At 51.1% G+C, this 12356-nt stretch overlaps 1 pseudogene, besides 1 other annotated feature; it reads right to left on the bottom strand.

Moving 5' to 3' along the window:
• LOC124901865 (translation initiation factor IF-2-like) overlaps positions 2 to 12356 on the bottom strand; it is a 451468-nt pseudogene continuing 439113 nt past the window's right edge.
• Positions 8410 to 8910: an enhancer, noted in NCBI's record as "H3K4me1 hESC enhancer chr8:7913805-7914305 (GRCh37/hg19 assembly coordinates)". NCBI's record gives its function as "activates a minimal SCP1, AML or CMV promoter by ChIP-STARR-seq in primed H9 embryonic stem cells {active_cell/tissue: H9 hESC(primed)}" and the evidence as "EXISTENCE:reporter gene assay evidence [ECO:0000049][PMID:30033119]".

Genomic DNA, 12356 nt, shown 5'->3' with positions numbered 1-12356 from the left:
CTTACCGTGTATCTTCCATGATTTGGAGGTGGTGGGAAACCCGAGGCTGCTCAAAACTCGTGGAGAATTCCGCCTGCAGGATGACATGAATGCACCTTCCCATTGCCTACCAACAGACCTTTTTTGAGCATCACTGTGGACCAGGTGTGGTGATGGGGGAGGGGATATTGTGGAGAACATGACAGGCATTGCCTTCACCCAGTGGGGCTCAGCGCTGGGTGGGAAGGCATTGAGAATGGACATTGTCAATTGGGCCAAAGGAGGCCAAGGAGAAGTGCTGGGGGCATGGGAACTGAAAAAGACAGGAGGCTCAGCAGGTCTTGGAGCTGGGAAAGTGACAGCAGCAGCGGCTGTTCCAAAGGAAGCAACAGCTGAGAGAGGTCTCGGAGAGTTGTTCTCAGCCCAGTGGAGGGTGTTCAGGCAGAGGGAACAGCGTGTGCAAAAGCCCAGAGGCTGGGAAAGAAGCAGAAAGAGGACTGTGGGGTTGGAGCATGGTGGGCAAGGGGAGGAAGGTGTGGTGGGCAGACAGATTGACTGGGACCCAGCTGTGCAGGGGCAGAGGAGATAGGGGATCCTTGCAGGCCCCCAGCCGGGGCTCAGGCACAGAGACAATGCAGGTGGGCAAAGGGAGGAGACGTGGAGAAATATTTTGGAGGCATGCCCTGATGAATGAGCCCAGGATGCACCCTTAGTGTCAGTGTGGAGCTCCTTCCTTGACTGTGTGATGAGCTGAACTCGGGGGTATTTTCTGGACATTGAGGTGCTACACCAAGAGCCCAGGACAGGCTAAGTGAGCACTAGCAGCTCCTGGCCCACCTCAAAAGCAGGAAAGACAGGGGAGACTGGGGAGGCCGGGGTGGAAGGGGAAGCCAGGAAGGTAGGAAAGGCCAGGGAAGCAGAGGAGGCCAGGGAGGCAATGGAGGCAGGAGAGGCTGGGGAGGTTATGTCCTTTCCATGATTCTGCCCTGGATCCTAGGCCCCTGAACTCCCTGAGCTTCCCCACCCCAAGCGCTGGAACCAGGTTGCACAATGGTCTCCCCACTAAGCTCCTGATGGCAGCCCCTACCCTGCTGTGCTCCCTATTTCAACCCTAACAGCTCTCACAGTGGGCAGCACATAGTAGGTGCTCAGGAAACACTGGTGGGAGAGCACGTGGGTCTGCTCAGCACCTTCCTCTCTCCTCCAGCTCTCCCCATCATGAAATAATTCTGATAACGACACATGGACTTTGAGACCCTCTTCTATTACTTTCCATATGCTAATCCATCTATACCTCACAGCAGCCCTGGGGGTGGGTGCAATGAGGATGCCCATTTTATAGAGGAGGAGACTGAGGTATAAAGAGGGTAAGTGACATACGCACACTACAGGGGCTGGGGCCAAGTGATCAGAGCACTCAATCCCCAAAGGCAAGGTAGATGCAGTTATCATAAAAGACAGCAGAGTCAAAGCTGCAACCAGAATAGCCTGACTCCCAGCGACCTATGGTGCCTGCTGATCGTGGCTTTCCTAGAAGTGAAATAGATAAGAAGCCTGCCACATTTCACTTGATCTGTGTTTGCAGAAGAGCTCTAGGTCAAGTGAGCAGAAGTCTAATCTGAATCATAAAAACAGAGTCACAATCCCCAGTCAATTTCCAGACATAAGCCAGTTCACAGACCTGGAGTCCCTTGTCTGAATGAGAAGCCAGGTCCCCTCCAGAAAGGACTCTGCTCCACTGCCAAAAATTTATACTGTCAGTCTTTCTCCCAACCTGCCCCCAAGGGAATACACAGCCTTTCACCAGGATGAATGAACAGGAGAAAAGGAACTAATGAGACCTGTGCAGGATCACTGGACACAGGCTCTGAACTGGCACTAGGGCGAGACTAGGTTCTACCAGTCAGAATAGGCATTTTGGAGGTCAGGTGAATGTTGGTGCAAGTTCATGTCACGGTAGGTCCATTGGGTCCCCAAATCCATCCTCTGGTTATATACAAAGCGGCAATGCTGAGATTCAAATTCAGGGCATCCGACATAGAGGCTGGGCTCTTACTCATGAAACATTCTGACACTAGTAACCAATTTAAAAGTGCAAACACCTCCTGGGACTAGAATGGGTCCCCAAAACAGTCATGTAAATTGGTTCTGTCAAGAATTTCCTCCCACCCCCTGCTGAGAGCCAGTTGCAAGGAGAGACTAGGGAAGGGCATTGGGTAACTTTGTTGCTAAAAGCTCTTCTGGATAAAGACGTATGGGAAAAGAAGTAAATAGAGTTCAGCAGAAGAGGTAAGAAAGTAAGTTTATGTTTGGCCAGGCACGGTGGCTCACGCCTGTAATCCCAGCACTTGGGAAGGCCGAGGCGGGCAGATCACGAGGTCAAGAGATCGGACTATCCTGGCCAACATGGTGAAGCCCCGTCTCTACTAAAAATTCAAAAATTAAATGGGCATGATGGCGCGCGCCTGTAGTCCCAGTTACTCGGTAGCCTGAGGCAGGAGAATCACTTGAACCCAGGAGGTGGAGATTGCAGTGAGCGGAGATCATGCCACTGCACTCCAACCTGGGCAACAGAGTAAGACTCTGTCTTAAAAAAAAATTAAAATAAATAAATGCTATGCGCAGCATTTTCCATGTACTGTCTTATTATCTCGGTGAATCCCATATAACCTTCCTATCAAAGTGTATCTCATTTATCTCCATTTTATAGATGAGAAAACTGAGGCCCCTGGAGTAGTATTAATTTTACAAGACCGCATTGCTCATAAAGGGTACAGCAGGGACCCAAGCTCGACACTCTCACCCTCAAACATTTATACAAGTGTGGACCAATGGCTCTCAACTGGGGTGGTTTTGCTCACGTACCGCTCCCTTGCCCCACATTATTTGAAACCATCTGGAGACGTCTGGGGTAGCCATAGCAGGGAGGGTAGAATGGCACCTAGAGGATGGAGACCACAGATGCTGCTAACCATCCTTCAATACACAGGACAGCCCCACCACCAGCACCACGAATGGTCTCACCACAAATATTCTGACTGTGCCAAAGCTGAGAAACCCAGGTTTCTCCTCAGCAAGAAGGAAAATCCCTGCAACGTGGATGCACCTCTACAGGAGCCCCAGGCTGACAATAACCTTCCTGATCTGGTTTCAACCCTGGATGCTTTTACCTGGTGCGTCCATCAGGGATTTCAGGGACTCCAGTGAGTTATCACCCTTGAATGCTCGGTTCTGCCTGACAACCCAGAAATCTCTGCCGAGGTGCCTGGTCTTGCGGAAGACTCAGCAAGTGGTTGAGGTGGACAACCAAATACCTAGGAGAGACTTTTCTCTCCCTCCATGAGGAGCTGTGGGTCAGACACACCCTGGGATCATTCACAAGCGGTCAATAAAGGCTTGAGGAGGGGCAGATTTTCTAGGCCTTCTCAATGGGGTGGGTGTTTGTGGATAAACAAGAAGCCTGTGAAACTTCTGATATTGGGAGGAAATCAATGTCCCCCCCTCCACCCTCCCCCACCTCCCCACCATAAACACATGCCCTGCAGCAGGACTTGACACTCAAGGGCTCCTGGGGTCCCGATTAATCTGCTAAAACATCCTCTAGCCACCACCGAATAAAGCAACCCCTTGCCACCCAACCACAAGAGCACAGCCTGGGAGCCACTCCAAGGGACATCCAGTCACATTAAAACCTCAGCCATCCAGAGCACCAGGCCTGGTGATGAGAAAGAACATTTTATCCTTAAAAGCATCTGAATGCCCATGCTGCTTCTTGCAGAGAAAAGTCCAAAATAATCTGTTATTAAAGAACGAGGATGGTTTTGACATTTTTACCAAGCTAGTGGTCTACGCAGACAAAATCTCATAAAAGGGCACTCTGTTCTTCTTGATCCACTCAGACACGGCCTGTGAGTGAAGAAACGGGCTCTCCTCCTCAAAGAAATCACTGCTGATCCTCGTACCAGCCTGACACTGCTTCATGGGTTCTTCAAAGAGAGTATTCCCATAGGAACTAAAAGGGAAGAGGAATGTGTCTGGCGGGCATTGTGGGCAGCAGTGAGCTTTGGGCCAAATTTTAAGTTTGAAAATCAGGATTCCCTCTTTTCAAGGGGCTGCCGGACTGAGCAGATACAGGCACCGTGAAAAGAGCGTGCCATGTTCAGATTCAGGAAACAAGGATGGTTTCTGTTCAGTTCCTCCATCATCCTTCAGGTCATGCTATTCCCATTTCCCTCTGTGGACCAAACAATTCAGTGGGGTTTCTGCCTTTTAAACATTTCATTATCAACATATCATCCTTTTAGCCTCCAGAAAGCATTTTAACATGGAGATTCTGGCTTAAGACTCTTGTGGGTCTGTCTGTCTCTCTCTCTCTCTTTTCCTTGAAACGGTCTCACTTTGTCACCCAGGCTGGAGTGCAGTGGCATGATCACAGCTCACTGCAACCCAACCTTCCAGGCTCTAGCAATCCTCCCACCTCAGCCTCCCAAGTACTTGGGACTGCAGGCACACACCACCATAACTGCCTTTTTTTTTTTTTTTTCTTTTTTTTTTTTTTGGTAGATATGAGGCTTCACCATGTTGCCCAGGCTGGTCTTAAACTCCTGGGCTCAAGCGATCCTCCCCCTTCGGCCTCTCAAAGTGCTGGGATTATTGGCTTGAACCACCATGCCCAGCCAAGAACCTTGTCTCTTGTGACGTACTCCAGAACAAAACATCACTGCAAAAAGACACCAAGGCATGAGTTTTAGTACTAAGTCCCACTTATCCACCATACACTATGTGCCAGGCACAACGCTAAGTGCTTCTATGGACGAGCTTCCCTTAATCTCAGCAGCAACAACCCCAGGCAATGGGGCCTGTTGACAGATCCATTTGCCACTGAAGACAGTAAGGCTCAGAGAGGGTAAGTGGCTTGTGCCATGTCAGCCAGCTAAGGAGGGGCAGAACCAGGATGCAAACCCCAGCCGCCTGGCTCCAGAATCACATTCCCAAGGTCTCACTACACTTGGTCACTCCACCGCATTCTGGTATCCTGGTCTTTGGCAGAATCCACGTAAAAGAGGGAGGTAGAGGGAGTGAGAGGGACTTCATGCAATAAAGTTTCCCGGCGTTACACTGCCACCATAATTGTGTCCCCGACCAGGACCTCTCCCTTCTCATCCTTTCCGTGATCGGCCCTGGAAAACCTTCCAAACAACTGTCCTCCTTCTCCCGGGATCTCAGAGAAAATTCACCTGAGTTCAGTGTCCAGGTGACCCAAGCTCTGAATGCGGTAACGTGGACGGGGAGATGAGGATGTCACCATGAGCCAGCCTCCCAGACAGCATCCAGGAGCAACCCCAAGACTGGGCGGGGGGGCTCTGATTCTGCCCATGGCGAGGAGGGCTGCCCATGCTGCCTAAATGGGTTCAGAATGAAGGCTGCACTCCCAACTTCAACCCGGGGACGGCCACGGAGCCTCCCGACGCCCCTTCGTCGCGTCCCCGGCACCCCCGAGCCCCCGGCACTCCCGGACCCCCGCGCCCGCATCACTTACTCCTTTGCCGTCGCCACCTGTCTGGGTGCCGGTCTCCTTCCTGCCCGGCAGCGGCGGGTCCTCCCCGTCCTCGCAGTCCTCGGGCTGTGCGCTTCCCCCCTCCAGCTACAGCCCCAGCCTCTTCTCTTCGGGAGGGACGTCCTCCCCCATCCTGGGACTGCCATCCCTGCCTCGGGGCTTGCCAGTGGCTTCGGAGCTGCTGGAAGGGCTGGCCATGGCTCCGGGGGCTCTGCCTGAACTTGGGGAAGAAGAAGGACCCGGCTCAAGCGGCTTCTCGGCGGAGCTGGGGCGTCTGAGCACGGGCTCGGTGGGTCCGCGCGGCGCGGAGCTGGGTATCGGGGCCGGCCCGGGCTCCTCCGCGGGCCGCGCCTGGCTCTCTGGCGCCCTCTTCTGGCCGCTCTCGCGCACCTCTGCCACGCCGGGCCCAGGCCTGCGCAGCTGTCACATGTCCTGGCCCAGGAGGTCGCTGTCCCTTGCCCATGGACAGGCCCGCTCTGGCAATGCCCTGCACCACCTCCCCGCCCCAGCCAGGTTGCACCCCGATGGTCTCCCTGCTCAAGGAGGAGAGAAGAGAAGGGACGCCACGAGAGGGTGGACATCGGCCACAGCCACCTTGTCTTTGCTCTTACCCTGTGTCTTCCATGATTTGGAGGTGGTGGGAAACCCGAGGCTGCTCAAAACTCGTGGAGAATTCCGCCTGCAGGATGACATGAATGCACCTTCGCATTGCCTACCAACAGATCTTTTTTGAGCATCACTGTGGACCAGTCGTGGTGATGGGGGAGGGGATATTGTGGTGAACATGACAGGCATTGCCTTCACCAAGTGGGGCTCAGCGCTGGGTGGGAAGGCATTGAGAATGGACATTGTCAATTGGGCCAAAGGAGGCCAAGGAGAAGTGCTGGGGGCATGGGAACTGAAAAAGACAGGAGGCTCAGCAGGTCTTTGAGCTGGGAGAGGGACAGCAGCAGCGGCTTTTCCAAAGGAAGCAACAGCTGAGAGAGGTCTCAGAGAGTTGTTCTCAGCCCAGTGGAGGGTGTTCAGGCAGAAGGAATAGCGTGTGCAAAAGCCCAGAGGCTGGGAAAGAAGCAGAAAGAGGACTGTGGGGCTGGAGCGTGGTGGGCAACAGGAGAGAGGTGTTGTGGGCAGACAGATTGCCTGGGACCCAGCCGTGCAGGGGCAGAGGAGATAGAGGATCCTTGCAGGCCCCCAGCTGGGGCTGAGGCACAGAGACAATGCAGGTGGGCAAAGGGAGGAGACGTGGAGAAATATTTTGGAGGCATGCCCTGATGAATGAGCCCAGGATGCACCCTTAGTGTCAGTGTGGAGCTCCTTTCTTGGCTGTGTGATAAGCTGAACCCGGGGGTATTTTCTGGACATCGAAGTGCTACACCCAGAGTCCAGGACAGGCTAAGTGAGCACCAGCAGCTCCTGGCCCACCTCAAAAGCAGGAAAGACAGGGGAGACTGGGGAGGCCGGGGCGGAAGGGGAAGCCAGGAAGGCAGGAGAGGCCAGGGAACAGAGGAGGTCAGGGAGGCAGGGGAGGCAGGGGAGGCTGGGGCGGCTGTGTCCTTTCCATGATTCTGCCCTGGATCCTAGGCCCCTGTAGTCCCTGGGCTTCCCCACCCCAAGCACTGTAACCATGTTGCACAACGGTCTCCCCACTAAGCTCCTGATGGCAGCCCCTATCCTGCTGTTCTTCCTATTTCAACCCTAACAGCTCTCACAGTGGGCAGCACATAGTGGGTGCTCAGGAAACACTGGTGGGAGAGCACGTGGGTCTGCTCAGCACCTTCCTCTCTCCTCCAGCTCTCCCCTGTCACGAAATAATTCTGATAACGACACATGGGCTTTGAGACCCTCTTCTATTACTTTCCATATGCTAATCCATCTATACCTCACAGCAGCCCTGGGGGTGGGTGCAATGAGGATGCCCATTTTATAGAGGAGGAGACTGAGGTATAAAGAGGGTAAGTGACATACGCACAGTACAGGGGCTGGGGTCAAGTGATCAGAGCACTCAATCCCCAAAGGCAAGGTGGATGCAGTTACCATAAAAGACAGCAGAGTCAAAGCTGCAACCAGAATAGCCTGACTCGCAGAGACCTATGGTGCCGGCTGATCGTGGCTTTCCTAGAACTGAAATAGATAAGAAGCCTGCCACATTTTTACTGGATCTGTGTTTGAAGAAGAATTCTAGGTCAGGTGAGCAGAAGTCTAATCTGAATCATAAAAACAGAGTCACAGTCCCCCGTCAATTCCCAGACATAAGCCAGTTCACAGACCTGGAGTCCCTTGTCTGAATGGGAAGCCAGGTCCCCTCCAGAAAGGACTCTGCTCCACTGCCAAAAATTTATACTGTCAATCTTTCTCCCAACCTGTCCCCAAGGGAATACACAGCCTTTACCAGGATGACTGAATAGGAGAAAAAGAACTAATGGGACCTGTGCAAGACCACTGGACACAGGCTCTGAACTGGCACTAGGGCGAGACTAGGGTCTACCAGTCAGAATAGGCATTTTGGAGTTCAGGTGAATGTTGGTCCAAGTTCATGTCATGGTAGATCCATTGGGTCCCCAAATCCGTCCTCTGCTTATATACAAAATGGCCATGTTGAGACTTAAATTCAGGGTATCCAACTTAGAGGCTGTGCTCTTACTCATGAAACATTCTGACACTAGTAACCAATTTAAAAATGTAAACACCTCCTGGGGCTAGTGAGAGTCCTCCAAACAGTCATGTAAATTGGTTCTGTCAAGGATTTCCTCCTACCCACCCCCCCCCACCACTGAGAGTCAGTTGCAAGGAGAGACTAGGGAAAGGCATTGGGTAACTTTGTTGCTAAAAGTTCTTCTGGATAAACAAGAGCCTTATCCAGGAAAAAGAAGCAAAATAGAGTTCAGCAGAAGTTGCGAAAAGAAGCACATAGAGTTCAGCAGAAGAGGTAAGAAAGTAAGTTTATGTTTGACCAGGCACGGTGGCTCACGCCTGTAATCCTAGCACTTTGGGAAGCCAAGGCGGGCAGATCACGAGGTCAAGAGATCGCACCATCCTGACCAAAAAGGTGAAGCCCCGTCTGTACTAAAAATTCAAAAATTAGCTGGCCATGATGGCACACGCCTATAGTCCCAGCTACTCGGGAGCCTGAGGCAGGAGAATCACTTGAACGCAGGAGGCAGAGGTTGCAGTGGGCCGAGATCATGCCACTGCATTCCAACCCGGTGACAGAATTAGACTCCATCTCATAAAACAAAACAAAACAAACAAAAAAAAGTAAGCTTATTTTTAAGCCTGAACAAGTGTAGTGGTTTAGGGGTTCTGCAAACACGGCCCCAATCAGGCTACAAGATGTTGTGGCAGCAATATTTACAGCCAGTCACTCCTGGCCGGCTGAGCCACTTTTCAAAACACCCTTGCACGGCCGTGCAGAGAGGCTGGCTCCACTGGCAGCCGGCAGAGCCATAACTCACACTGTCACCGCTGCCCTCAAACCACTTCGGTAAGCACTTTGTATTTTTGAGACGGAGTCTTGCTCTGTCATCCAGGCTGGAGTGCAGTGGCACAATCTCGGCTCACTGCAAGCCCCGCCTCCTGGGTTCATGCCATTCTCCTGCCTCAGCCTCCCAAGTAGCTGGGACTACAGGTGCCCGCCACCATGCCCGGCTAATTTTTTGTATTTTTAGTAGAGACGGGGTTTCACCGTGTTAGCCAGGATGGTCTCAATCTCCTGACCTTGTGATCTGCCTGCCTCGGCCTCCCAAAGTGCTGGGATTACAGGCGTGAGCCACCGCGCCCGGCCTGGTAAGCACTTTTAATCAATGCAACAGGAATAAACATTTGCTGCAGAGCGGCAATGTGCAGGGAAGAACATGCTTCCACTTAGGATCAGAAAGCAAAACCTCCTGGCTGTTTGCATCTATGCAAGAGCTCACAGGAAAAGCCCTCTGTGTGGCTGCCAGCCTCACACACTCCCCCCAAGGGGTGAATTTCTCTTTCCATGTTAATCTATGCTCTGACGTGCCATCTGTCAACCACCACACCATTCTCAGTTGACATTTCAAAGCATCTTTGCCCTGAGAATGGTCACCAGCTCTGCCCTGCAAGCCCCCAGGTGACAATGAACTTAAATGAGAGAGAAAACAGGTTTCGAGGTGGATTTCAGTTCAGCATCTTGGAGTCTCTGTGTGGACATGAAATCTGTCTCCCCAGCTGTGGACTGCATCCTTGTTTGTCATCTGGTTTGGTTCTTGGGGACTTGGAAACTCGTGGGCACCTTTGCAATTTGTCAAGAAGCTGCACGGCCCTTCCAACAAAAGCAAGGAATAGGAACAGAAGCCCAAGGCTTCAGATCAAGGTGCAATTTAAAGCAGCCTCAGTATAAAAGCAAACAAGAGCCAGAGGGATGCCTAAGGCAGAGTCTACACCCCAGGGCAGCTATAAGGCAAAGAGAAAGAGAGAGAGAGACAGAGACAGAAAGACAGAGAGAGATGGGAGGAGACATGAGGCACCCAGGCATCTGGATCAAAATCCCTACAAGAGGGGCCTCCTAAAAATGCAGGAGGCTGAGGTGGGTGCACACAGAAGTTCAAGACTAGCCTGGGCAACACAGCAAGACCGTGTCTTTACAAAAAATACAAAAATTAGCCGGGTGTGGTGGTGTATGTCTGTGGTCCCAGTTACCCAGGAGACTGAGGTGGGAGGATTGCTTGAGCCCAGGAGATAGAGCTGCAGCAAGCTGAGATAGCACCACTGCACTCCAGCCTGGACAACAGAGTGAGACTTCATCACAAAAAAATTTAAAAAATTTTTTAAAAAGGATCACCCCGGCTACTCGAATGGGTAATAAGAAGGTAAGAGCAGAAGCAAGGAGACCAGCAGGGACATTTTGCAGGTGGGAGTCCACAGAGGTTCAGACCAGGCTGGGGCTGAAGACTGCCTGAATTCTGTGTATATTTTGATGATGAAGCAACTCACCGACTCTTGAAGAGTGGGATCCAGGAGATGGTATTTTTAACAAGGTCTCAGAGGATTCTAATGCAGGCTGAAGTTGAAGAACTGCTTTAGGTGAAGCTTCTGTTTCATCCTTGGGGAAGTACCTACTGACTTTTCTCTAAGCCACCACAAAAGAGGTGCTAGACAAGATGTGCTCCAATGTCTGAACATGTGTGCACAGCTGTAGAGCCAACCTAAGGACACTGAGTCAAAGGTTAGGAGTACAACAGTGAACAACCACTGTCCTCTTTTCAATAAGCTTTGCATTTAATGAGAGAAATAAAAAGCAAAAAAAAAAAATCATTTTCAACTCAGAATGGTAAGAGTTATGGTGACAGTATGCCTGGGGCAATGGGAGCACATAGAAGGGGTACCCAATCGGCCAGGTGCAGTTGTTCATGCCTGTATTCCCAGCACTTCGGGAGGCCAAGGTGGGTGGATCACTTGAGGCCAGGAGTTCGAAAACAGCCTGGCCAACATGGTGAAATCCTGTCTTTACTAAAAATACAAAAAAATTAGCCAGATGTGGTGGGGGGCACCTGTAATTCCAGATACTCAGAAGGCTGAGGTGGGAGAATTGCTTGAACCCGGGTGGTGGAGATTGCAGTGAGCCAAGATCGCACCACTGCATTCCAGCTTGCATGGTCAGAGCGAGACTCTTTCAAAAAAAAAAAAAAAAGAAAGAAAAAAGAAAAAGCTCGGAGGTGGGTGGGCATGCAATCTATATCAGGTGGTGAGAAATCCTTCTCCACCACAGGACTCCTCAGTTGAAGACTAGAAAATGGTAGGAACTAGCCAGGTCGATAGGAGAGGTGTGGAAGATCATTCTCAGCAGAGGGAAGAGCATGTGTAAAAATCGAGACGTGAGAGGGTGAGGAGCTGAGAGATGTTCATATAATTGTAAAAAGTGAGTAATATAGAGGTAAGTTGGAGCCAAATCTTAAAGGCTCTTTGTCGTGTCTATCCTGTAGAGAAAGGGAGACAGTAGATGTTTTTATGCAGGGGAGTAATGATCCACTTTGTGCTAGAAGAAGAGCAGTCTGGCTGGAGGAGAGTGGGTGGTGAGTAGACCAGGTAGGAGGCTGCAATACGCCAAGTGAGACAAGATGGTTGGCTGGACCAAGGCTGTGGCAGTGAGGATGGAGAGGAGACAGTAGACTAACTTGACTGAGAAAGAGGGAGGAATGAAGGAGGAGGCCCAGGTGATTTGGAAGCTGGGTGGATGGTGGTGTGAATCTGACGTGGTGAGCCCTGGCAGAAGAGGAAATCAGGAGAGGAAAGGTAAGATGAGGTCAATGCAAGACAGACAGCCAAGTGGAGATAACAACTGGGCAGCTGGATTCATCAGCCTGGAGTTATACAGAGAGCTCTGGAATGGAAATAAAGAGGAAAGGACTTTGGGAATAGGTGAATCCTCCCAGAATAATGTGTAAGAAAGGAGAATAGAACACAGGGGACAGAAAAAGGGAAGAGATTTGTTATTAAAACCAACCATCCATCAGACATCTTCCAATAAAACACTTGTTAGAGGTTTCCTCAGTGTGAGTTATTCAGGACCAGAGCTAAAGACCATATTCCCAATAAAATCACTGGTGGGAAGGTCTTCATGAAAACATTTAATGCTGCTTTTAAAACAACAACAATAAAAAGGCTTTAGCTACTGCACAGACCCTGGAGCAATTTTTCGGCAAGAGTCTATCAAACACGAATCTGATCTGACTCAAGGAGGTGTCATATCAAGTGTAAAAATCCAATTCCAATGTCCATAAGAGCCTTTCTGCCAGGTACAAGACCCTAATCCAGTTGAAGTGATTTTCTATTGATTAATAGGCTGGGAATACACAGG

The sequence above is a fragment of the Homo sapiens genome, chromosome 8, assembly GCF_000001405.40.
Source record: "Homo sapiens chromosome 8, GRCh38.p14 Primary Assembly".
NCBI lineage: Eukaryota > Metazoa > Chordata > Mammalia > Primates > Hominidae > Homo > Homo sapiens.
The sequence above is the reverse complement of the archived record's forward strand: the minus strand, read 5'-3'. Positions and strand labels throughout refer to the sequence as shown.